The sequence below is a fragment of the Homo sapiens genome, chromosome 8 (genome assembly GCF_000001405.40).
Source record: "Homo sapiens chromosome 8, GRCh38.p14 Primary Assembly".
Classification (NCBI taxonomy): domain Eukaryota; kingdom Metazoa; phylum Chordata; class Mammalia; order Primates; family Hominidae; genus Homo; species Homo sapiens.
The window spans coordinates 117,948,086-117,975,361 of NC_000008.11; the positions used below are offsets into that span (position 1 = coordinate 117,948,086).

Below are 27,276 nucleotides of genomic sequence, written 5' to 3' on the forward strand. Positions count from 1 at the left end.
ATCCTACCTCTTTCCAAAAAAGATTTAAGGTAGCTTACAGTAAAGGCTCATATGCCTAGGGCAATGTAAAAAAAAATAAGAAATATCTAAATACATTATAGTAAGAAGAGATAGAGGAGGGTGCTCTGAAGTAGTAGCAGGTTGGTCTTGCAAGGAAGCACCAAGTTTGGTTGGAAGTATCTGGCATGCACAGCGAGGTGAGAGGCAGAAAGAAGTCATTCTGACTGCCCTTGCCAAAAAAAAAAAAAAAAAAAAAGGAGTAGTAACAATTTATGAGATGCTAACTTTACTTATCTTAAGTGACAGAGAACAAGGTCAACAAATGTTCACCCTGCTCAAGCAGCAGGTTGTATTCTTATATTTTAGGATCACGGACTCCATTCAGAATCTAAGAACGTTCTGGACCTATTTCCCCCATAAACTCATAACCATACAACTTTACACATAGTACCAGGGTTCCATGAACCTAGACTGAATACTTGCTGTGGGAGTTCTCTGTAAAGTTGAAATTTGTATAGGAAATCCTCAATACTCATTTTCACTGAATGCATAAAAGGTCACTAGTTGAAGCCAGACATCTCAAAGTAATCCTTTGAGTGTGGTTTCTTCCTCCTGCCATGTATAGCCAACAATGGCTTGTAGCCAAAAATGGGATCATTCCACTTGAAGGAACTTGACCAAAACCCTAGTAATTTGTCTTGGTCTTCATTTTTTCCCACTCTTTATCTTGGGATGTGCTTGCATTCTTATGCTGAGATATTTTTCCTGTTTATCTACTTATGTTTTGGGTTGTTGGTTTTTAATTCTTGGCTTTCACATATTCTGCATCTTAAATTCTCCTAATTTACTGTGTAATTAAAACACCCATGCACATTTGTTCTCAATTAATAGAGACAAATTATTCCCCAGTGGAAGACAACTCTATTCCAACTTGAAACTGGAAGGGCAGATAGGCCTGAATTTTAAATGTTGTCTAACGACTCTAATATTCTTTGTTGAGAGTATTTAAGAGATAGGTTAATGTATCCTTGGGAGACAAATATTCCAAAAATCTCATGCTAACCCTCAGAACCAGATGATTCTGCAAGTTCCCAATTTTGTAATCCTTATTAAGTATATTAGGAATTTGTTTATAAAATTATCCTCAGAAGGAAGATAAAATTAAGCTGGATAAAATAAAAGGCAGTTGAAACCAGTTAAATAGCCTTTAGTTTGAATACCAAATATTCATGTAAAATCGATGCATCCATCATAAGCCTACATACTTATGGCTTTAGAAATATTTGAGAGCATTAAAAAATAATAATGGACCAGAGAGAAAGTTGACATATTTATAATCCACAGGTAAGTCTAATATCAGTACCTAGTTTGTGTGTGTATATATACACACACATACACACATATACATATATATACATGTATATATGATATATAAATATAATATATATACGTATTATATATCATATTTGTGCAAACATTTGGAAGTTATTCATTTAAGCTTCATTGTGAATCATTTGCACAATTACAAAATAGATTGTAATTAGAGCTCAACTATTTCATACATAAGTAATAATATGATGGAAAATACTCAACAATATAAAACCTGGTAATAAAGAGACATCTTACTAATTAAGATTTCAAAGGGATATTTAGAAAACGAAAGAGAGAAAAAGAATCATTCTTGAGGATCTGCTAATCTGAGAAACTATCCTAAGTACTTTATTTAAAAGACTTCTTTTAAGCCCAATATCAGTCTTATTTGACAAATGACATTATGCCCATTTTTAAGACAAGATAACTGGGACTTAGGGAGGATTAGATGGCATCCAAACATTCTTCTAAAATTACTAACAAGGAGGCCAGATGTGGTGACTCACGCCTGTAATCCCAGCACTTTGGGAGGCTGAGGCGGGCAGATCGCTTGAGGTCAGGAGTCTGAGACCAGCCTGGCCGACATGGTAAAACCCTGACTCTACTAAATAAACAAACAAAAAAACAAAAACAAATTAGCTGGGCATGGTGGCGTGAGCCTGTAGTCCCAGCTGCTGGGGAGGCTGAGGCATGAGAATCGCTTGAACTTGGGAAGTGGAGGTTGCGGTGAGCTGAGATGGCACCCCTCGACTATAGCTTGGGTGACAGAGCAAGATCCCATCACAAACAAAATAAATAAAATAAAATAAAATCACTAACAAGGAAAGTTCTAGTAGTCTTGCCATAAAGTCAACAACACATCTTTGGAAAGGCCACAGACCTTTCGACCAGCAGCTATTTCAAGTAACTGATTCTCAGCTGGCTGGTTGTAACAGCCAAATGCGGATTTACACTGAGTACTTTGTTCAGGGTTCAACACATTTTACATCAGATAATGCCTGCTGTTCCCATTTTTCCTAGAAATGGGGTATGAGTACAATTCCTGTTTATGTAAACTCCTGCCACAATGAACCTTTACTTGGTCAAGATAGGATAACACGAGGGCTAAAGGAAAGAGGCCACAATAGGAGAAAAGCTATCTTCTGCCAATATCAGGGTCAAGTCCAAATTGTCCCTTTAGGGCTTACCCTGATAGAACCAGGGATAAACACATTGGGAGAAGAAATGAGTTTAAAAACAGGCACAGAAAGAGATTTTTAAAAATAGGTATATTGGACCATTAGAATAGATGGACTATGAAATGTACACAAAGATGTTATTCAAGTTCACCTTGATTGTTTTACTGGGTCCTAACCAGGAGCTTTCTGTAACTAGACTGGGCATATCACCCTATCATATGTTTAACAGGTGGACTGTACTGGCTTTCTACATTGTACTCCATGAAGAAACAAAAATTTTTTTTTTAAAAGTTGTAAGTTTCTATACTTATAACCAAAGAGGCAAATTATATTTTGGGGGGAGCCTTATTGATTTTTGGACCCCAAATAAGATAAGGATTAAATCAATGTCAGAAATAATAATATGAATACACATTAGTTAAAAAACCTAATTGTATTTGAGATCATTTCCTTATGGAAACCTTTTCTGAGAGCTAATCAATCCCTCTGTAAAAGGAGAAAGTGAGAGAAGAGGTAATGTTTTAGAGTGTTATCGTGACTGGTTATTTTAAGGGAAGAACAGAAATAACTTGGCAACCAGGAGTCAATAGGAATGGAAGTCTTTCTGAAATGATTTGTATATTTCCCTACCTAAATTGGCCTCTTTTACTCATCTATCTTTCACATGTTATACAAAGCCTGTTTATGAAAGTGAGAATATAGGTTCAGGGTCTCACAGCAAATGGGATAATGGCATAAGCAGACTCCTGTTTTTGTGATTTTCTCAAAAGACATTTCATATTTTGTAATTCAGTAACCACAGCACCAATTTCTGAGATGTAAACTTGATTCATGTATTCATTCATACATTCATACAAACTAGACCCTGGGAACACAAGGGAAGAATGAGTCATGGCTCTGCCTTCATGGAAGATACCTGCTGCCTATGGAAAAAGACAAATAACAAGAACCAAAGGAATTATGACTGTGATAGAGACATAGACAAATGACTATATACAAGCCACTCTTCTGGCTACTCTTGATTTAGAAATTATCCTCTTTATGTAGACCACTTCCTCTGCTGGTAGCACACTTAATAGATGACGTGGACTATGTCAGGTCTATAAGCTACAACCCATGGCCAAATCTGGCCTGCCACCTGTTTTGGTACAGCCTGCAAGCTAAGAATGATTTTTACACTTTTAAAGCATTAGGAAAAAAAAATCAACAGAAGAATAATATGTGAAATTCAAATTTCAGGTTCTTAAATAGTTGTATTGGAACACAGCCACACTCACTCATTTATGTAAGATCTATAGTTATTTTCAAGCTACCATGGCAGAATTGAAGAGTTGTGACAGAGACCATATGGCTCACAAGACCAAAAATATTAACTATTTTGCTGACCCTGGTTTAGATGGTTTGGACCTTATCTAACATAAGAGTAAATTAAACCAATGTCAGAAATTATTAGTATCAGAACACATAAAAACACAGCTCCTAGTGGCTTCCAAAAGAACTAATTCGGTAATTACCCTAGGAAAATCACCCAGCACACATCAGTCATAAAAATCCTGTTTTTAAATACACATCACCACATTCTGTCTTTATTAAATAGCATACACATTACTGGTATAGGTAATAAATTATGAAATACTACAATGTTATCTGAATACAAAGTTAGTGTCAAATTACTTTTAAAATATAGTTGGTTCATACTTGTTCAAAAACTATTCGGCAAACATTTACAGAGTAGTACTGCCTTCCAGGTAGCCTGCTAAACAGCAGAAAAAGGAAGATGAGAATGACAGTCATTTAAGGAATCTATGTTTAGAAGGAAAATATAATCAACCCTCAAAAAATATGGTGAGACACCAGGCGCAGTGTCTCACACCTGTAATCCCAGCACTTTGGGAGGCCAAGGTGGGCAGATCACTTGAGGTCAAGAGTACAGCTTGGCCAACATGATGAAATCCCGTCTCTACTAAAAACACAAAAATTAGCTGGGTGTAGTAGTTCATGCCTGTAATCCCAGTCACTTGGGAGGCTGAGGCACAAGAATCGCTTGAACCAGGAGGCGGAGGTTACAGTGAGCCAAGATCATGCCAATGCACTCCAGCCTGAGCAACACAGGGAGACTGAAAAAAAAAAAAGTGGATGAGAAGGCATTTCATAATAAAGCCTCAATATTCTTTTCCCCACTTTCAGTTTTGCATTGGCTTAAATGAGGTAAGCCATGGAAAATGGAAGATGGATTTGTGTAGACCAAAGAAGTTCATGAATTTTATAGTAAAATAAAGGTTATTCATCAATTGACATATTATAAGCCATATTTTGTAAATGACTGAATAGTAGAGTTAGAAAGCCAAATATTAAATAGCTTTCAATATTGCCAAGAATGTCTGTGTTTTAATTATCTTAATTAATTTGCCTTTCTTCTTTTCATTCACTTTCCCCACTGTGTCCAAATAACGATTCCCTCTTTTGTTGCTCCAGTCTTCCAGGGATTTGTAGACTGTCACCTTATTTTGAACTCTGATCCAGCTGGCTCCTCAGCTGTCACTTAGCCAACTATACCAATTATATAGAGATATATAGTTAGATAGATAGATATACATATATATACATATATCTGCTATAATCTTTCCCTATAAGACCATTCAGCTAGCATAACCATGCTAGACTGCCATTCACTGAATAAAACCTAGTGTTTTACATTGAATAGGGATACATCCTAAAGGCTGGGACCCCAGATTATAGGAGAAATGATCATTCTGCTCCCATGATTCTGCAAATGGTTTTTCTTAGCACTGTGAGCCCCAATGAAGCAAACAGCCTCATCAAGTACTCTCTCAGCTACTCTGCTTTCTCCACTCCACCTATCTCGTATCTAATCTGTGGGTCACATGTATGGTGACAGTGCCACCGTGGAAGACTCAAATGCTTATGACTCAATGTGCCAAACAACCAGCGCCAAATTACTGAGAGTGAATGATGCCTCTGCTCCCATTTCAGATTAGAGTGTGTTATGCAGCCATGTAGTTGGGTCATCCCTGCAACTGTTTTATCACCTCTCCCATTCTTTAACATTTCTTATAAAACCAATATATTATGATGCCTTCAATATTGTCATAATAATAATACATACAATGTATTAACAAATAAACTCTCCTGTAGTCCCAGCTACTCGGGAGGCTGAGGCAGGAGAATCACATGAACCCGGGTGGCGGAGGTTGCAGTGAGCCAAGATCGCACCACTGCACTCCAGCCTGGGGGACAGAGCAAGACTCCACCTCAACAACAACAGAAAAAATAAAAATAAAAATAAAAAAACTGTTATTTACCGAAAGATTATTATGTGCCTGGCACTGTCTTGCATGCTTTATATGTATTAACTCATCCGGTTCTCACAATAATCTTATTAAGTGCTATTATTATCTCCACCTTACAACTAAGGAAACAGGCTGCAGTAATCCATTTCTGGTCTTGTTCTTCCTTTCTAGAAGAATCTCTCCTGTGTATCTCCTCTCTTCCCAGGGGCTGTTTGCTTGACCCGCGACTAATGGAAGCCCAGCTCTGACTGCCCCTCAGGGGATGGCTCCTGACTGCCCTAGCTATCCAGGGTACTGCTATTCTGCCAGTGAATGATTTAAACAGAGAAGCAGAGAGGAAGTCCACTAACGGGTTCCAGGAAAGTCTCTTGCTCCTAAGAGGAGACCCAAGGAGGAGACTAGAAGTTGTCATACTCTGATGTGATGTCTACAGCTGTCTTGCCCCCATAAGATGTCCATTTGTGACCCAAACTGGCATGCTGAGATGGCAAAGTGAAGAAAGGTAAAGTGTCTAAAACTCTAGGGATATGACTGAGCCATGGACTGAGCCAACTCTGAAGCTCCCCTCCCACTCTATTCGTTGTTATTTAGATTATATATGTCCTTGCTAAATGATACAAACAATGAATACAACTGAGGTTCAAACCAGCCTATATTTGGAGTCTTATTTGTAATCCCACCTATACAAGGATATAATTCAAAACCCCATTACGGTTCTGCAAACACTCTGCATCTGTGAATTATTCAAAACAAATGCCCTACCAAGAGCATAACACCATCCAACTCATATGTGGGGGGGACCTGTTTCTCTACTGGCAATGCTCTGACACCAAACTTATGGGTTTCTTCCCCTCACACCAACAACAAGTTCTCCAACTTCCTGGAAACCTACTTGATATCTAATGATTGAATTCAATTCTGACAGTAATTACCCAGAGTTAATGCAGACACCACAGGTTAGGGGCTCAGAGCCACAAGATTATCCCTCACTTCAAATGCCAATCACAAGTCTGGGTCTCCTATACTTCTCACCAACTGCCTACAAGTCAGGGGATCTCATGACTCCCTCCTCAAGTTCAATCGTTTGCTAGAAGGGGTCACAGAACTCAAGAAAACAGCTTACTATTACTGATTTATTAAAAAGGACATAATGGATACACATGAACAGCCAGATGAAGAGGTACACTGTGTGATGTCCAGAAAAGTCCCAAACACAGAGGCTTCTATCCCCATGGAGTCGGGGTGCACCATCCTCCCGGCATGTGGATATGGTTATCAACCTGGAGGCTCTCCAAACCTCATAGTTTAGAAATTTTGAGGGGGTTTCATCACATAGGCATGATAGATAATTAAACAATTTCCAGCCCCTCTCTCCTCCCTGGAGAATAGGGGTAGGGTGGGTTAGAAGTTCCAAGCTTCTAATGACAGTTTAGTCTTTCTGATGACATCACCACTTTGAAGCTATCCAGGAACCCACTAAGAATCACCTCATTAGAACAAAAGGTTTATCACCCAGGAAATTCCAAGGGATTTGGGAATTCTGTGGAAGACATTCTTATCACCTCTATCACTCAGGAAATTACAAGGGTTTTAGCAGTTGGGTGTCAAGGGGCAGAGACCAAATTTTTGAGACAGAGTCTCACTCTGTTGCCCAGGCTGGAAAGCAGTGGTGTGATCTCAGCTCACTGCAACCTCCACCTCCCGGGTTCAAGCGATTCTCATGCCTCAACCTCCCGAGTAGCTGGGACTACGGGCAGGAGCCACCACGCCCAGCTAATCTTCGTATTTTTAGTTGAGAGGAGGTTTTCACCATGTTGGCCAGGCTGGTCTCTAACTCCTGGCCTGAAGCAATTTGCCTGCCTTAGCCTCCCCAAGTTCTGTGATTACAGGTGCAGGACAATGTGCCTGGCCCAAATATATATTTCTTATCATGTCACATTTACCAAGAGTGTACCACCATTCACCCCAGCCTGCCCTTATGGCAAGGATCCAGCTTGAGTGTACCCCAGGCATGACTGGTTCTTACATTACAATAAACAATACTCAAAAAGATGGAACATTAACATAATGAGAAAAGCAGCAGCAGATTTAAAAATCAAAATGATTTTAGAGTATTTGCTGTTTACAGATAATCTGAGCCTCTGCCATCTATTTTAAGCATTATTAATGAATGACAACAACACACACAGGAAAAGGAGTGAAAGTGATAACTACGGATTTTTTTTTAACAGCAAAAAAAAAAAAACAAGTCGGGGATCCCAGACGCTGAAACAGGAGGCCCTTGGCACGGGCCTGGCTCTGCCCAGAAGTAATCACTTCCACTCACTGGACCTCAGTTTCCTCACCTAGAAGATCAGAGGGGTTTATAAAAAGGATGTGAAACTTGAATTTCCTGACTACTGGTGGAAGACTCTGACTACCATTCTATGAGAATCTACCAAATGATTCCAAGGAAGTATTTCAACATAGAGGAAAAGGTTCCCTTTGCTTTCTCATCTTAAACTCTAAAAAAAAAAATTTTTGAGACAGTCTCACTCTGTCGCCCAGGCTGGAGTGGTATGATCTCGACTCATTGGAACCTCCACCTCTGGTGTTCAAGCAATTCTCCTGCCTCAGCCTCCCAAATAGCTGGGACTACAGGCACGCATCACCATACCTGGCTAATTTTTTTTTGTATTTTTAGTAGAGACAAGGTTTCACCACATGAGCCAGGCTCCTCTCAAACTCCTGACCTCAGGTGATCCGGCTGCCTTGACTTCCCAAACTGCTGAGATTACAGGCATGAGCCACTGCATCCAGCCTTAAAATTATAAATTAAATGGACATATATTCCAAGGAAATCCAAGCTAGGTTTCCTTAACCATGAGCATATATTCCTGATGGGGGAAGAGGAGAGAGAAAGAAGGAGGTTCTGGGAGTGCAAATACACCAGAGTGGGCACAAGATACCCGCCTCCGTGAAGGAGGCACTACCAGCTGGGGCCTGGAAAATGTTCTGCCCAATTCAATCCCGTGACCATGAAGTGGCAAGTTTGAAACATGTTGTTTCACTTTTCCCAGGCTGTAACAACAGAGTCATAATTTCCTTCTTAACTGGAACCATCTGATAGTTCCGGGGAAGCAGTTCATGGCACGTTCTCTTTGCTTTGTGTCTTGGCGACAGCACTGTGTTAAGAGTCACCAAGAGTTACACACACAACGAGGGGAAGAGCCTCAAAAGTGCAGAGAAACCACAGCAAATATTAAAAGCAGAAGATCTCATGTGTGTGTTTTAAGAGTTTTTTACATCACCCCCTTATTGCTGATATTTTTGGAAGACTGCTAAAACAAGATGAAAGCTGAGGATTGGTTAAATTCATTACTTTTGACTAAGTTGCAAACTATGCAACCAGCGAAACAGTGCTACTAAATTAATGCCTCTAAAGAGATGCTGGGGCCTCTAATAAGCATCCAATAACTCCCTGAATGGCAGTGAGTTCATAATGGCCCTTCCCCCTGGCCTCTCGGCCCGGAATAAACAGGCTGCAGGTCTTACGGAGGGAGCCCCAACGGGAGACAGACACTGAAACAGGAAGCCCTTGGCACGGGCCTGGCTCTGCCCAGAAGTAATCACTTTCACTCACTGGACCTCCGTTTCCTCACATAGAAGATCAGAGGGGTTTATAAAAAGGCAAACTCCTCAAGGTTCCCCCAAGTGCGTTTTTAAAACAGTAAAACCCTGCCTTGCTTACACACCCAGCACAATCATTTGAGATGTTTTCATGGGGCATTCAAACGTTTTGTACTTTAAGAAAAATTTTTAATGGAGGGTTTGGGCTGGAAGGAGTAAACAAAGTTTATTCTTTTCCTTCTCTGTGTCCAGTTCCCAAAGAAGATAAAAATGCTAATTCCAGCTCAAAGTTGAAAGCATATCTGTGCAGTTCAAGATACTTAACTATGTTTCAGTTGAAATGGACTTCCTTAAAGATACACTTGAGATAAAGTTATCACCAACAGATGTTGAGGTGATCTTATCTTAACCAACTCAAACAATCAGCTCATTCTTAAAACAGAGTTAATGAGACTGGTAAAGGTGGAACCTAATGGTTATTTTGGAAAAGGAGGGAAGAGAACAGTATTTAATGCCTTTAACAAACTGAATACCCACCTCAAGAGTTCCTGTTACCAAGTCTTTTTTTTTTTAATAAGTGCACTTTCTCTTCAAAGGTTTAGAAACTTATTTAAATGGAGACTAACATAAAGTAGGGAAGAATGCCTCAGGACTTTTCTCAAGCATAAATTTCTTTGTGAACAACATTCATCTCATAGGAAAGCATCCAGATGTTGAAGGTTCACAGGAGAAATAGAAACAGAATGTATGGATAGAGCCTAGAAAATGAAATCTATAGAGCTACATCATCACACTTCCCATATATGACCCTAAACCTTCTAAAATGACCTTGACTTCCCGAAAGAGCCAAACATGTGTCTTGTCTCACATTTGAATTAAATGTGTCACTTCTCCCCTCCAACACCAAAAACAATTGGATAATGAAGAAACATTGACACTGAATCCACATAGAAATGAAAACAAGACTAGGTCATCAAAATATTTATCTGAATCACATCTAAACTAAAAATAATCTTTCTATTTAAATCATTCTACTATAATTTGGTTGCTTAATTGCTTTCCAAATTAAAGCAATGATAATAGTGAACTAGAGTCTAAAAATTTAATATCAGAGAAACACAATAATCAAGTCTATTAAATATTTATTGAGCATTTACTATGTACCGAAAGGCACTAATTTTACTACCTGCACATAGAACTAGAGCATTCTTTTCAACTAGCCTAAGCAAAAGTATGTAATTTACTAAAGTTAAATTATTCCATTGAAAACAGATTCAAGGCCTTTTTTTCTTTCCTAAATATGCCATTTCTCTCACAATTCTTGCACTTACCATCTCTGGCTCCCCTACTAAACATTCCCATTTTACTCCACATGCAAAATCTCCTTTCTGAGGCTACTGAGAACAAGCAATAGGTTGGGTTTTTCTGCACTGATCCTAGTTACTTCCCTTGACCAAACAGTCCAGGTTCTAACTGCAATCACTAAGGGGCCCTTGTTTGAACTCCTAGGAGGTCCAACTCCACACTTCCTCCAATTAGCATCACATTGGACCTGAGAAATTCCAACAGGTTGTGCACAAAGTGAAGGAAAGAGAAAATGGCTTAAGAATGGCTAGTGCCTGTGAAAGCTGCATGCCTTAGGGAAAGCTGGCCAAGGGACAGGCAGCTTTTCCCGCAGGAGACAGAACTCTCCTGCCTAGCACCCAAGGCCGGCCCTGATCAAGCTCTAGCCTAGCACACAAGGCCGGCCCTGATCAAGCTCTAGCCTGTTCCCCTGGCCTCACCTCTGTCCATCACTCGCTTCTGCTTCATGTTTCCCACAAACAACTCTGTTTCATTCTTCTGTGCCCTTGCTAGCTAGCACTATATTTGAAGGCCAGAAGCGTCTTCAAATTATAACCATGGGAAGCATACCACTAAGGAAGAGGACAATGTAACTGAGGCAGTTCTCGGCACAGTCCTTACCACTGTCATCATGATCACCTGCTTGAGGCAGATGCTGGATAAGCACTTCGCATTATCTTATTTAACCTCCTCAGTTCACAGATGAGGACACTGGAGATCACAGACAGTAAGGGAGATAATTATATTGGACACACGTTTGTGTGATTACACAGCCCAAGCTCATATTAAATGCATTGTAATATTTCTTCATAATACAGCTGCTCAAACCACAGTGAATCAGGCACTTGAGCCCGGTGTCAGCATCTAGGAACCCAAGTTAAGGAGGGTGGCTGCCTAAGTTCATAATCCACTTCTGCCTCTACTTTCTCTAAAAGATAGTAAAGTTACTTATCATTTCAAAGCTTCATTGTGACTTCACAGAGTTGTCATGAACGTTATATAGAACAACAGATTGGCACATAATAAATACCCAGGCCGGTCATGGTTGCTCACGCCTGTAATCCCAGCACTTTGGGAGGCCAAGGCAGGCAGATCATAAGGTCAGGAATTGAGACCAGCCTGACCAACATGGTGAAAACCCATCTTTTGTAAAAATACAAAAATTAGCCGGGTGTGGTGGCAGGCACCTGTAATCCCAGCTACTCACGAGGCTGAGGCAGGAGAATCGCTTGAACCTGGGAAGCAGAGGTTGCAGTGAGCCAAGATTGTGCCACTGCACTCCAGCCTGGGTGACAGAGCGAGACTCCATCTCAAAAATAAATACATAAATAAATAAATTAAATAAAATAGATACCCAATAAAATATACAAAGTTGTGAATTTGTCTTCAAATTTAGTGCAATTTGCACTTTTCATGGTAAAACTTGAAACTATTTTGTACATGTAATCTAAATGCAATCCTCCCCAACATTTTAACTCCACCTCAACTTTGCTTTCTTTGAAAGCTTATAAAAAGCTCCAACCTTAATGGACTCTTCCAGTTTTTATTTATCTAAGCCAAACACAAATAATTCACCACCACCATCACCCTGTCTTAGAGGAACTCAACTGAGATTGGATAGAGAAACAAATCAGGTAAGTGAATACAGCTTAGAAAACAGTTTCACTACTTTTGTACATAATTATAAGTACCTGGATCTGTGTAGTGAGGAACTTTCACCATGCATAATAAAGAGAAAAATGTTGTAATCAGTGCATAAAATTAAAATAGTTTAATTACAATTTGGTTCTAACAGAATCGACTGCCTAAGGTGGCCATCTTGAGGAAGTGATAAGAGCATCCTGGACACGGAGCCAACAAAGGATGTTTAAGCAGCAAAATTAGACATTTAATTTTGGAACTTCCTACTTATGAGAAGCCTGGGGCAATTTGTGTGAGTGTTAGTGCACTGAAGAGCTACAAGAAATCCTTTGTTTTTCAAATAATAGCGGGGAAAAACACGACAGCAATGAAATATGCCTGAGATGGTCTACACTACACACTTATCCTGGTGATTCTAGTATCAAAAAAAGAAGAACAAGGTGCAATACTCTGCGCAAGAGTCATAAACTCTTTTGTGGGAAGTAGAGGGTAAATGGGCAAATGGTCGTTTACTTTGGCATTGAGGAAACTCCAACTTTGACCAAATTTCAGGGCATTTTCTTAGCCAAAGCATTTCTTTCCCTCCTTCCCTCCTTCCCTCCTTCCTTCCTTCCCTCCCTTCTGTCTTTCTCTCTCTTTCTTTTTTTTTAACAGGCAAAGTCTTGCTATGTTGCCCAGTCTGAACTTGAACTCCTGGGCTCAAGGAGTGATCCTCCTGCCTCAGCCTCCAGAACAGCTGGGACTACAGGGTGCAGGTGACTGCACCCAGATTCCAATCATTTCTTGATTTGGAAGCAGATATGAGGAAGAAGCATAAAGATTGGGGGACAGGGGGATTCTGGCATATGGGCCTTAGGATAAAAAAAATAGTTTTCTTTGATATTGATCATTGGCTTGAATATGCTTTGCAATTAAGATTTATAGTGAATGTAAGCAAAACCAGCACCTAGAAATCTAAATGTACCAAAAGGAATATTAGGGGATAAGTTGACATTTTATGAGTCTATACTTCTGAATTCTCTAAAACAGCTTTTAAAATAAGCTATTCTAATTGGATGCAATTTGCAAGCATGAAACATACGTGCACTTATTTCAAGAATTCATATATAAAGTGAGATTCAGCTATATGCTGTTAAGGATAAATATTCTTGCAGCAAATAAGAATTGCTCTTGCACCCTAACGATGGATCTTTCTAAAGAGAACATTCAAGAGAAACTTCAGGTGCTTACAACATGCACACAGAACAAACTCTTAATGGCGGGCTGAGCTCCTGCTGCTGGCCTGAAAAACGGGGTCTAAACAACTCCTTTCATGGTCGCCTTGCATAGAACCACAGATCTCATAGTTGAAAGGAGTCTTGATCTGCCAGCTCTCTGCCTGAACTATGAACTCGCCACTTAGTGTCCTCCATAAGTGAGTGCTGAAAAATCTGTTTGGGTAAATGGTACCTCATGTATTAATTAAGAAGGGTCAGTGCAGGGGAAAAAATACCAGCAAGGCAATCAATTCCTTCTTTCCACTGCCTCAGATTTGTGCATTTAAACAATGCCACCTCAGTAGGCTCATTTGTCAGTTTAGGTCACTGATTTCTTCCTCAGTCACCAGGTACTAGGCAAAACTACCACTTCCTGGTAGAAGAATATGCTTCAGACTACCCAGTGGCTATAGTAAACAAACCATTATCTATTTGGAATACTCTTCTTTCTATGAATCTATGCTATGAAAAGCAGAAACTGCTTACGTTGCTTCTGTAAAGTGTGGCAAACCAAATTTAGCCAAGGGGGCCTGGTGCTGTGCCTCACACCTGTAATCCTAGCACTCTGGGAAGCTAAGGTGGAAGAATCCTAGCATTTTGAGGCCAGGGGTTTGAGACCAGCCTGGGCAACACAGCAAGACCTCATCTCCAAAAAAAAAAAAATTAGCCAAGAATGGCTGGGCACAGTGGCTCATACCTGTAATCCCAGCACTTTTGGAGGCCAAAGCCAGCAGTCACTTGAGGTCAGGAGTTCGAGACCAGCCTGGCCAACATGGTGAAACGCCCATCTCTACTAAAAATGCAAAAATTAGCTGGGCTTTGTGGTGCATGCCTGTAATCCCAGCTCCTTGGGAGGCTGAGGCAGGAGGATTGCTTGGGGCTGCGAGACAGAGGTTACAGTGAGCCCAGATCATGCCACTGCACTCCAGCCTAGGGAATGGGGAAAGACTCCATCCCCCCACACCCCCCACCCCCAAAAAAAAGAGAAAAAATGGTGGCACACACCTGTAGTCCCATCTAATCTAGAGGCTGAGGCAGGAGGATCCCTTGAGCCCAGGAGTTCAAGGCTGCAGTGGGCTGTAATTGCACTGCTGCACTCCAGCCTAGGTGACTGTAGGGTACACACCCCTGATAGCATTAATTTAAGCATACCCTTAGAATGACCCTCTAGGGCAGATGCACCTGAATGTGTGTTCCAAGGTAGGAAACTGGACATGACAAATCTGGAGAGTCTTTCCTTATCTATGAGGAACATCTGAGCTGCTCTCCCACCATCCCATCCCATCCCATCCAATAGTCTTGTTCCTTCCCTTCCTGTTCCCTGGAACACAGGCTGTATAGGGGATTGAGGTGTTGAGTTTCAGGTTAAATGAAGGTTACCAGTGGAGGTCGTTAGGGCAGGTGTTAAGTTAAATGCCATATAAAGTACATGATGTCTGCAGGCAGCTGTGGTTTTCCCGACCAGCTTGCTGCCACTGAGCCTGTGGTTACCTTGTCCAACTAGCTGCCACTGGACCATTTCTGTACATAAGGTGGTTCTCCTGTCCAGCCAGCCACCACTGGACTCTCTCTCCTGTATTAAGCCCTTAATAAAACTCCATGTCTTATTTGCTGGCTCTGAGTCTCTTCTTTGGCCTTTTGAACACGGCGCCTTCTCTATTCGAGTTTTGTTGTGGTGGTGGTGGTGGTTTTTCATTTTTTTATTTTATTTTTGAGACAGGGTCTCACTCAATCACCCAGGCTGGACTGCAGTGCCAGGATCTCAACTCACTGCAACCTCCACCTCCCGGGTTCAAGCGATTCTCTTGCCTCCGCCTCCTAAATAGCTGGGATTACAGGAAGACACCACACGCCTGGCTAATTTTTGTATTTTTAGTGGAGATGGGGTTTCACCATGTTGGCAAGGCTGGTCTCAAACTTCTGACCTCAGGTAATCTGCCCACCTCTGACTCCCAAAGTGCTTGAATTACAGGCATGAGCCACTGCACCCGGCCCCTATTGAGGTTAATTGGGGTTTGGCACAACAGCAAAAGAGTAACACCCTATCTCTAAAAATGCTCCTGCTAACTATTTTATTCCCAAGAGGATGATGTGTGTGTTTGTTTATGCAAAATATATGGAGATTTTATTACATGCAACCCACATCCCCTCCCAACCCTTTCATCATGAGGTTCATTTGATGAAAGTCACCATAATTTTGGCTAAATGGTTATGTTGATTAAAGTTAGTGAAAACTATAAAATATGCAGTATTAAGTAGAAACCACTGTGCATTGCCAAAGAAACTGCTTTGGGGAATTACAGTGCTTTGTATCATTTGTTTACTTATACACTTTACCTATTTCCCCTCCATCCTTTTAATTTACATTATCTTTAAAGATAACAATGTAAAGCTTCAGTCTAGACAACCCTCCCAGCTGATCTGAAATCTGGAATTAGTGGAATTCCAATGAAGTGCATATAATTCTTGTCTGCTAAGTTTTTATAAGGATCCCCTTAGGTCAACTCCACATTGGCTTCTAGAGTACTGCATGTACAGCAAATTCTGATTTGTCTTCCCTTCCTCCTCCCCTCAAGGTATGTGTGTAAGCATGATATTTGTTGGTGGTAGCAGTGAAGGAGTGGGGAGTGAGGATAGTGGACAGAGGTTAATTAAATCACCCAAATATGATTTGTAGAATATCTCCTCTTCTGGTTTAATTCTTCTTTCCAAGTACAACCACAGGAGTCAAAAGAGCACCTTAAAATTTTCCAACAACCTCCATTTGGGAGGAATGTGAATTTCACAGAAAGAGAAATTTTTGTGGGTTTTATGTCTGTGTGTGTGTGTGTTTGTTTGTTTGTTTGTTTGTTTGTTTGTTTTTTGTTTTTTGAGACAGGCCCAGGCGGCTGGAGTGTAGTGGCATGATCTCAGCTCACTGCAACCTCTGCCTCCTGGGTTCAAGTGATTCTCCTGTCTCAGCCTCCCGAGTAGCTAGGATTACAGGCGTGTGCCACCATGCCTGGCTAATTTTTGTATTTTTAGTAGAGACAGGGTTTCCCTATAGTGGCCAGGCTGGTGTTGAACTCCTGACCTCGGGTGATCTGCCCGCCTTGGCCTCCCAAAGTGCTATGATTACAGGCATGAGCCACCACGCTCAGCCAGAAATCTTTGTTTTACTCACTGTTATAAGTTCAGGTGCCTAGAAGGATGTCTCCTGACACACAGTAGGCATTCAATAAATATTTGTTGAAAAAATGAATACATAAAAATGAAAAAGTCAGAAATAAATGATTTAACTATAATTTACTCTCAATACCCTTCATGTTGGGCTTGAGATACGTAGTGTCTTGTTTTTTTGTTTGTTTTTTTAAGTTAATCATTGAAAGACACAACCAGCGTATCCTCTGGAACTTGAAAATAAAGATAAAACATAGTATAAATTATGTGTTGTTTTTCTTTAGTCCTAAGCACAGAGCAATTTTGTATTAGATTACAAAATGTCTGATGTCTGGGCATCAGTCAGCAGCAATAGAATATTAAAGATCAGATGGGCTGATTGCTACTGTTTAATTAATAACCTGGAGTGGAATCAGTGCCGCTAGTTGGAATATTCCCTTAGCATCAGGGCACTAAATATTTCCATTTAGTGTTTCAATGGATACACTAAAAACAAGGGGGAATTACCTTGAAAGACCACCAAGAGTAATGTTGGCATTTTGGGGTCAGAAGTCTCTGATTAAATAGTTTCAAGGTTTGCAGATAAATATTGTGCAATTCAGGAGATCATAAGCCAACTTTAGAACTTAAAGGATAGTTTTCTAATACATATGGAATAGAATATTTTTCTTCCTCTTTCAGTTATTTTGTAAGTTAGATAGAAACTGTGAAAACACTAGCACATTGTCAGCTATGTAACAGGCTCAATACATATTAATCAGTGAATCTCTTGAGCTTTTCTCTAATACCCAAAATGAAGCTACTTTCTTAGAATTAGAAAAAATAATGAGTTTTCTGCAACTAGTTACTTTTTAATCCTAATTATGTGCTAACTATTCACGTAGATAATTCTGATATGTGGAATAACTAAAAATCTTCCCCACCATGAACAAAGGGTAATGTCCAAATTTCCACTTGGAGGAATAACCAAGCAAAGTATTTCTTTTTCATCAAGGGCATGTCCATGGTAAAATAAATAAATAAACACATACATGCATATACACACACACACACACACATATATACACACGCACATATACATATATATACTCACAGAAATCACCTGTTTTGTTAGCCAAATAATCATGAAACGATTCAAAGTGTAATTATTTCCCAAAAGTAAAAATATAATAATCCAATATAGAGAAAAGTCTCCACATATTCTTCAAAGGACCACCATCACAGTTGTAACTTCATATCCTTGTCATGGCAGTTCCCCAAGGCAGCATCCCATTCCAAAACGAGGATTCTTTCACAAGGAATGAGATCTCTGTGTGTATTACGACAGGATTCCAAAGTTTAGAACTTTTCCCCCTTGCTATTCAGCCTGTTGACAGGATAATAACATCTAATTTAGCACAGCCATGTGACAGACATGTCCTCCTAAAGTGCTTTACATACAATGTCTCATTTCATCTTTTCAACAAGGTCTGTTATATTAATAATAACATCTCCATTTTGCTACTAAAGAAACTGGGAGGTCGGAAAGGTTAAGTAACATGGAGGAGGTCACACAGCTAGTTAGCATAGGGACCAGGTGTCAACTTTGGGGTTTCTTTGACTTTTAAAGCCAGGCTTTTGACTACTCTCATATACTAAGTCTGGCGTATCCCCTCTTTCCTTTCTTTCCCGAGGGATTTATTCTGTTCTGCATTTCATTAAATCTGAAACATACCAACTCTACCACAATCTACATGCAAACAAATAATTCTCCATTTTGATGAAGGGAAAGACTAAAAATAATTCTTTAAGACTGAGAACAATATCCACTGACAACTTTGATGATAAAATCTATTTTTATTTTCCCCCTTTTCGTTTTTCAGCCTAATGCAGTTCACTTTGTCCCTTAAACAAGGTGTTCCACTGCTATTGAGAAACCAATTTTCTCTCAATACTTTATTGCAACATTATCAAGAAACTAGCTACTTAAACAGCAGGTAACCTTCTATTTCATGCATAATTACCATGCACTATATTTTGATGTGATCCTAATGGCCCTAAGTACGTTTTAAACAAACCCTCAACCTGCCCAAATGAAAAACATTTTGCTTCCTCTGTTGCACTTGTGTGGCAATGATAATTAACACATCTTGGGAAATTCGGGCTACATCTGATTAAATCATAACACACCATAAAGGTCTTTACAAATAATCCTTTGAAGAATCCAGCTGAGAAAATCATGAAAAGAAGAATTATGAGAAAGGAAGCTCATTATAATTTTGTGCCTGGCACTTGAAGGTGAGCATTTTGAAATCAGTCAACTTACCCAGAATGCACCTGAATGTCTGAGGAAGGAGAGCTGTCTGTGTGACCAACTCTTCACTCACAAACTCCATACTTCTGTTCAGTTTCCAGTACCTTTATTATGTCTTTATTTTAGTCAATGACCAAGGTAATGCTGCTCTTTCCTCAGACCAAAAACTTAAAAAGCAGTCATTAAATATTTTTTAAATTTCCCTTCACAAGAGGAGGTATCTTCAGACTTCCATGCTTAAAAGTTCAGCACTTGAGAGAATGTGTTTATAAATGGAAACATAAAATATGGTTTGAACTAAACAAAACAAACTTTGGGGGAAAAAGGAAAACCAAACCCAGGAACTAAGCCTGCTTTATTAATTCCAAAGGCCCAAAGTCAAATGAGATGAGCACTTGGATAACAAGGGCAATCATCCCCTTTAATAATGGAACTATGGCTATTATTACGGTTGTTGCTAATAATGATTGCACTTGCCACTTATTGAGTGCTTACTCATGGATTCTGCTACAACAGTGCTGAGAGTTACTTTTAACTCACAGAACAGAAATCTAAAGGTGGAGAGGTAATGAAGCCACTTGCCCAAGATCACACAAGTGTGTAAGAACAAAGTGGCAGATACGTAAAACAAACGAGTCTAAAGATCTGATGTACATGAGGACTATAGTTAATAGTATTGTATTCCATATTTCTGCTAAATGAATAGATTTTAGCTGCTCTTGCCACACATACAAAAAAATGGGTAGCCATGCAAGATGATAGACATGTTAACTTGCTTCACTATCAACCATTTTACTATCTACATATACATGTATCTCTTAACATCATGTTGTATGCCTTAAATATAAACAATAAAATTTACTTTTTAAAATTTTTTTATTTGAGACAGGGTCTGTCACTCAGACTGGAATGCAGGGGCATGATCATAGCTGACTGTGGCCTCCATCTCGGGGGCCCAAGCGATCCTCCCACCCCAACCTCCCCAGTAGCTGTGACTACAGGCACACAACACCGTGCCCAGCTAATTATTTTGAAATTTTTAGTAGTTTTTTGAAATTTTAAAGGTCTCGTTGTGTTGCACAGGGTGGTCTTGAACTCCTGGGCTCAAGCAATCCTCCTTCCTTGGCCTCCTAAAGTTCTGGGATTATAGGTGTGAGTCACCATGCCTGGCCAAAATTTACTTTTTTCAAATGAGGCAATAAGTATCACAGCTGAGGTTCAAACTCAGGCCTGCCTTACCACAAAGTCTGTGCTCTAATTAAATACTACTTATTCTGCCTTATTTATTTATTTATTTATTTATTTATTTTTTTTTTTTTTTTTTTTTTTTTTTTTTTTTTGAGACGGAGTCTCACTCTGTCACCCAGGCTGGAGTGCAGTGGCTTGATCTCGGCTCACTGCAAGCTCCACCTCCCGGGTTCACGCCATTCTCCTGCCTCAGCCTCCCGAGTAGCTGGGACTATAGGCGCCCACCACGACGCCCGGCTAATTTTTTGTATTTTTAGTAGAGACGGGGTTTCACCAGGTTAGCCAGGATGGTCTCGATCTCCTGACCTTGTGATCCGCCCGCCTCGGCCTCCCAAAGTGCTGGGATTACAGGCGTGAGCCACTGTGCCCAGCCAATTCTGCCTTATTTAAAGCAGTAAATATTTGACTGTAAACTACCTATTGTATACAGCTCTGTCTCTTCCTGATGTCCAAACTGTTTATTAAGCAAAAATAAGTTCTATACCATGGTGGTATATAAAAGAAGGAAAATGCGAAAAGCAGACCCAGTCCAGAGGAGTTACCATCTTTATTGGGAAGATAAGACTTTTACGAATGAAATAATTAGGGAAAAAAACAAAGCGGCCACATTTATTACCAAAAGCCTCGGGGCAGGGTCCAAATCTTTTATGAGAAGCCCCATTATTTGGAATCCAAACTAAGTAAAAATGTGAACAACTGAGATTTGGTCCCTTCCTTGTCATCCCTGTACTGCCACCCAAGAAGATCCTTTTATACTATTTTAAGAGAAATTGAAAATAATAAACAAGTAGATTGTCCTCAGGAATTTAATATTTCTTAACGGAATTGAACAGAGTTTTCCAGGGCAATCTCTTCCACCATTCGTTTCCATAGTATTGTATAGCAAATGGTTGTTTAGCCCAACAAACTAAAAATGTCAACCACAGCCTTGAGACCCTCTAAATTCTATAAAGTGAAACGTCTCACTTTGAAATATGCACATTGATCCCAGAGACGCAAATTCTCTCACTTTTAAGGCTATTGTGAAACTAACTCCAGCTTCATCTTTATGGAGCTGTTTCAATGTATAATTTAAGAAATCACTTCCAAATACTGAAAAATCCGTGAAAATCCTGCATAAATTATGCATGTTTGCGAGTCCCCTCCCTCATGTTGTGACAGATCTGAGCTATGTGGTGGTGGCAGTGGTGTGTGTGTGTGCGCGCGCACGCGTGTATGTGCATGCACATGCACACATGGTGTGGTTGAGATGGAAACCTTTCTCGCAAGCTTATTGAATATTTCCACCTCCTACAGAGCACTCTGAAGAAATGCACTTTTTCAACATTCAGATGAATGTGAATCAGAACGGCAGTTCTCCCAGGACTCATCTTTTATATTGAACGTAGGGTCACTGACAGGATTGAAATGGATCCAAGTTACCTTGATTAGCTGATTTTTAAAAGATTAGAAGCAGCCAGCTATGGACCGGAGGAAGGAGAACTGATTCTAGTGTCTGCTCTACCACAAAAAAGCCATGAGAATTTTAACATGTTACTTCAACCCTCTAAACCACAGTTTCCTTTTGTGTAAAATGAGGGATAAACCAGATAGTCTTTAGGTGGAATTCATGAACTGCCAGCCTGCAGACGTATTTGTTTAGCTAAGCTTAACCCCAAGATCTTTTTTATACTGGAGCACTATAAAGAGGTTTTATGGCATGACTCTCAAATTTTAGTGCATGACAGACTCTCCCAGAGAACCTACACCTGGGCTGTACCCCCAGAACTTCTGACCTAATTGGTTTGAGGCAGGGCTCAGGAATCTACATTTTTTTTTTTTTTTTTGACACGGAGTCTCACTCTGTCACACAGGCTGGAGTGCAGTGGCGTGATCTCAGCTCACTGCAACTCCGCCTCCCAGGTTTAAGTGATTCTCCTGCCTCAGCCTCTTGATTAGTTGGGATTACAGGTGTGTACCACCATGCCTGGCTAATTTTTTTTGGTATTTTTAGTAGAGATGGGGTTTCATCATATTGGTCAGGCTGGTCTCAAACTCCTGACCTTGTGATCTGCCTGCCTCAGCCTCCCAAAATGCTGGGATTACAGGCGTGAGCCACCATGCCCGGCCAGGAATCTGAATTTTCAACAGGGGCTTTCAAGGGATTCCAAGGTACTTGGTCCATGGACCACACTTTGAGCATAGTGGGTTAGTTGAAATTCTTGGTGATCTAAGTGCTCACATCACAACTTAGCAGTTACAAACTTCATTGAGTGGAATCCAAAATCTGACTTAAATGAACCGGAATCACACACTAGAGGAGAGCACATGTGCTGGATGTATCCATGGAGTGCAGCAGTTCTAATGCTGCCACTTTCTGCCACTCACAAGCGGTGAATCCTGGGTAATCCGTTTTTCCATCTGGAAAAATAAGGGCAGCAGGATCATCTCACAGGATTCTCAAGAGGATGAGAAATCTCAGGGGGGTTACCTAGCATGATTCTTGGCACAGAGAAGATCCTCATGCCCTGTTATGTCTTCTCCTGGCCCCATTCCCTTCAGGGGCACTGCACTGCATGGAGCTGGCCTGCCCAAGAAGCACGAGGACACCAGGTGTGCACATAGCTTGCCTCTCGTGACCTCACCTGTGCAGGCTTGCCCTCAGCTTCCCGAAAGAGCAAAATGATCTTAATTTGTCCTGTTTGGGGAGGGAGTGGACTGCAACCACCTGCACTCATTTCAAAACAGACCACTCACTGTAGAAACTGAAAAGAAAACACATTTATTACTCCTCTCCCACAATACTACTTCACCTCCCCTGCCCTCAAAGCCTTAGTAAGTGGGCAAATTCCTAAAGTGGAAATTATATGATAAACTTTGGCCAAGCCATAAAACACAGCCGGGACTAAGGTCACAAAACAGTTACTGATGTATGTTCCCTGATCAAAGCCACTCCATGACACTCACTTTTAGGAGTCAAGGGGACTACAGAAACTTACAGGAAGAAAAAAAAGCAACTTTGAAGATAAATTAGAGAAGCAGTCTACTCATGGTCAAAAGACATTACTCTTTGAGCTTTATATATTAATGAAGATTAAATTCGAAGTTTATAAGCTCTTTGTGATTATTAATAATTCAATTACAAGGAGGTACAGAAGCCATTCAAATTAATATTGGCGATGAAGGGCTAAAGAATGCTCAGCACCCCTGCTCTCCACCAAAAAACCCACTCCATGAATTAATTGTGGTCACGTAAATTATAGATGCTTAATCATCATCTGGGTTGAACTCTTTGCAAATGGTATCCCCTTTCTTGACATTTTTCCAAAAGGAAATTTTTTAGTTATATGCCAATGCATTCAAGATCACCAAAAGTGCTGTTAATAACACAGAAGACCGGGTGCGGTGGCTCACGCCTGTAATCCCAGCACTTTGGGAGGCCAAGGTGGGTGGGTCACCTGAGGTCTGGAGTTCGAGACCAGCCTGACCAACATGGAGAAACCCTGTTTCTTCTAAAAATACAAAATTAGCCGAGCGTGGTGGCGCATGCCTCTAATCCCAGCTACTCAGGAGGCTAAGGCAAGAGAATCGCTTGAACCTGGGAGGCTGAGGTTGCGGTGAGCCGAGATTGTGCCATTGCAGTCCAGCCCGGGCAACAAGAGCAAAACTCCAACAAAAAAAAAAAAAAGAAAGAAAGAAAAAAAAGAAAAATGAAAAACAGAAAAATGAAATGGAATTGGGACCAGAATAGGCTTCAGGATTTCCAGAGTGCAGTCAAAGGATCCACTGTGTAGCATGCAAAATTTTATGACTTTTGCCTATGCATTTTTCAGGGCAATAAATATCGTGGAGGTATATTTACTGTTTTCTACTTGAAAAGCAAATTTGTGGCAAGGGTGCTGGGCACAAATAAAATTAGTTAAGTGATAGATAGACACAGGAAAGGTCAATTGCTAGACAACAGTATATGAAACCACTCTTGCTCAAATGGTAAAAGAGGTGAAGAGGTGTCAGGAGAGCAACTTCATTATCCTCTAAGTGCCTTTTTCCATCCCAGTGGGAAAAAAATGCAAACACTCACGCACACATACTATGGTGGCAAATGCAAAATCGAATACCAATTGCTTTCTTTTGATAGTTTTGATACGTGTATTAGTCTGTTCTCACACTGCTAATAAAGATGGGTAATTTACGAAGGGAAAGGGTTTAATTGACTCACAGTTCGGCGTAGCTGGGGAGGCCTCAGGAAACTTAAAATCATGGCGGAAAGGGAAGCAAACAGGTCCTTCTCACATGGTGGTGGTAAGAAGTGCAGAGTGAAGAGGGGCAAAAGCCCCTTATAAAACCATCAGATCTCATGAGAACTCACTCACTATCATGATAACAGCATGAAGGTAACTACCCCTATGATTCAATTACCTCCCACCAGATCCCTCCCATGACACATGGGGATTATGGGAACTAAAATTCAGATGAGATTTCGGTGGGGACACTGCCAAACCGTATCAATATGTTTCACTAGAAACCAAAGAAAGGCTCAGAAAACCAAGAACAGACACATGTTGACCTTACCTTAAGCCTGAATGATAATTTTCAAACACAAACCATGTAGTATTTTAGAACCATTGTAAAATATTTGATTCTGTGAGAAATTAAGTGCTGGTGTTTCTGTGTGGAAGTGAAATCTCTCTGGATACCCCTCCTTGATTCAATGTGGGCATCCTCATGAAACAATAAACTGATGGTAGCACGTGATACAAGACAAAATGACAGGAGAGTGGGAATTGCAGTAAGTCCCTCCTTTTCCACTGTAACTGCTAGTGGAAACCCTCTTGGTTTGAGGGCATTGGTTGATCCTCAGTGTGGTTCTAACCAGTGTTGTATGGGAATATATAATCTGTGTGAACAAACAGATGAAAACTCTGGCAAACTTCAGGATCTCCATCCCCAAAGGTATTGATGGCTATGTGCAAATTAACAGCTATACTAGTGCAAATTAAAAGCACACTAGTTTAACACAGGGCCTCTACATCTTTTTTAAAAAGTCACTTTGGGAGGCTGAAGTGGGAGGACTGCATGAGCCTAGGAGTTCAAGATCAGTCTGGGCAACATAATGAGTCCCTGACTCCAAAATAATTTAAACATTTCCTGGGCATGGTGGTGTCTGCCTGTAGTCCTAGCTACTCAGGAGACTGAGCATGGAAGATTGCTTGAGCCCAGTAGGTCAAGACTGCACTAAGCCGTAATCACGCCACTGCACTCCAGCCTGAGTGACAGAGCAAGACCCTATCTCAAAAGAAAAGAAGAGATGAAAGAAAAGAAAAGAGAAAGGAAAGGAAAGGAAAGGAAAGGAAAGGAAAGGAAAGGAAAGGAAAGGAAAGGAAAGGAAAGGAAAGGAAAGGAAAGGAAAGGAAGGAAAGGAAAGAAAAGGAAAGGAGGGAAGAAAGGCAGAAAGCAAGGAAGGAAGGAAGGAAGGAAGGAAGGAAGGAAGGAAGGAAGGAAGGAAGGAAGGAAATAAATGTCTTTTGGACCAGTGTAGACCAGCCCAGTGGTTTAGTGCCTTATCAGGAAAGTTTTAAGGTAAAAAGGTTATAATTCTTCTCATCCCCTCCCACCCAGGTGGGTCACAAAACTATTCTCATCTTCAAAAATAACTAGGTTTGATTAATTAAATATATGAAACATAACAGATAAGCTCTATACTGATCTTAGCAGATTATAGAAGAGCTTTCAGGTTATTATCGTTTAAAAGTCATAGTAGTGGATGAACTAAGAAGAGATCAATTCAAAATATACAACTGAAGGCAAAAGAATTAACTGATTGTTGTCTGAGCTGTCCCAGGTTTCCCGACTCTCTGGGATCCCCCTCCTGCCTTCCCAAGCCCTCTTCCCTGCTGTAGTATCTCCTCCATGCTTCCTCATCTGCTCCATGGCTTCACAAAGCTGCTTTACAGTGAGGTCAAAACAGGCTGACACCACAGATTCTCACCACCTGGAATTTTTGTTTGTCTGAGACAGGATCTTGCTCTGTTGCCCAGGCTAGGGTGCAGTGGTGAGATCACAGCTCACTGCAGCCTTGACCTCTCCAGCTCAATCAATCCTCCCATCTCAGCCTCCTAAGTAGCTGGGACCACAGCCCATGTCACCATGCCCAGCTAATTTTTGTATTTTTTATAGAGACAGGGTTTCATTGTGTTGCCCAGGCTGGTCTGGAACCCCTGGCCTCAAGTGATTCACCTGTCTTGGCCTCCCAAAGTATTGGGATTACAGGCATGAGCCACCACACCCAGCCCTCACTACCTGGATTTGGCTTTTGTTGCCACCTCTCAGATAACCCTTGTTTCCATGATCTATGAGCCAGTTTAACCAAACCCAGAGTTAATTATCATATCCTAAGACAACTAATGAAAAGCACTGGGCTTAGTATAAAGCACACCCACTCACTCCCCACCATCTCTTTCCCCTGGCTCCCACCATATAAAATGATCCAATTTTGACATAAAATTTCTAAAATAAAACCTTGGTTGAAAGCCAAGTCTTTGGGAACCTGTACTTTCACGTTAGGAGGTTACAGACTTATTCCAACGATAAGTGCTTTTTGCACACAAGTGGCCTTTTGGAATTGATTTCTGAGTTCTGGGACACACACAGGCTTTTGAATGTTCTCAATAGTGGTAAGCCTTAAACCTTCTGAAGACAGATTGTATTTCTTTGGAATGAGCCAAAAGTGTTTAGGAGACAAATCTGGTGAGCGTCCAGCTGGGAAATACCATTTGGGTCAAAGCTATAAAGTATCAAGAGTGATTTTCTGGTGTGGTTTGAAAATTAGCTCTAAAAGTCATTCCAAAAGAGGCATTCCAGAAATGTATATGGCAATAACACCATCA

The 27,276-nt window shown here is 40.6% G+C and overlaps 1 protein-coding gene across 1 annotated transcript in view, besides 3 other annotated features; it reads right to left on the bottom strand.

The window, feature by feature from the left end:
- Positions 1–27,276, bottom strand: part of EXT1 (exostosin glycosyltransferase 1) — a 317,337-nt gene that overhangs the window by 153,596 nt on the left and 136,465 nt on the right. The gene's annotated exons all lie outside the window — the stretch shown is intronic.
- Positions 8,920–9,420: an enhancer, noted in NCBI's record as "H3K27ac hESC enhancer chr8:118969244-118969744 (GRCh37/hg19 assembly coordinates)". NCBI's record gives its function as "activates a minimal SCP1, AML or CMV promoter by ChIP-STARR-seq in primed H9 embryonic stem cells {active_cell/tissue: H9 hESC(primed)}" and the evidence as "EXISTENCE:reporter gene assay evidence [ECO:0000049][PMID:30033119]".
- Positions 10,905–11,199: a silencer, noted in NCBI's record as "tiled region #8624; K562 Repressive non-DNase unmatched - State 24:Quies". NCBI's record gives its function as "represses a minimal TATA promoter and a strong SV40 promoter by Sharpr-MPRA in K562 cells {active_cell/tissue: K562}" and the evidence as "EXISTENCE:reporter gene assay evidence [ECO:0000049][PMID:27701403]".
- Positions 21,900–21,959: a silencer, noted in NCBI's record as "silent region_19476". NCBI's record gives its function as "represses an Ori minimal core promoter by ATAC-STARR-seq in GM12878 lymphoblastoid cells {active_cell/tissue: GM12878}" and the evidence as "EXISTENCE:reporter gene assay evidence [ECO:0000049][PMID:35858748]".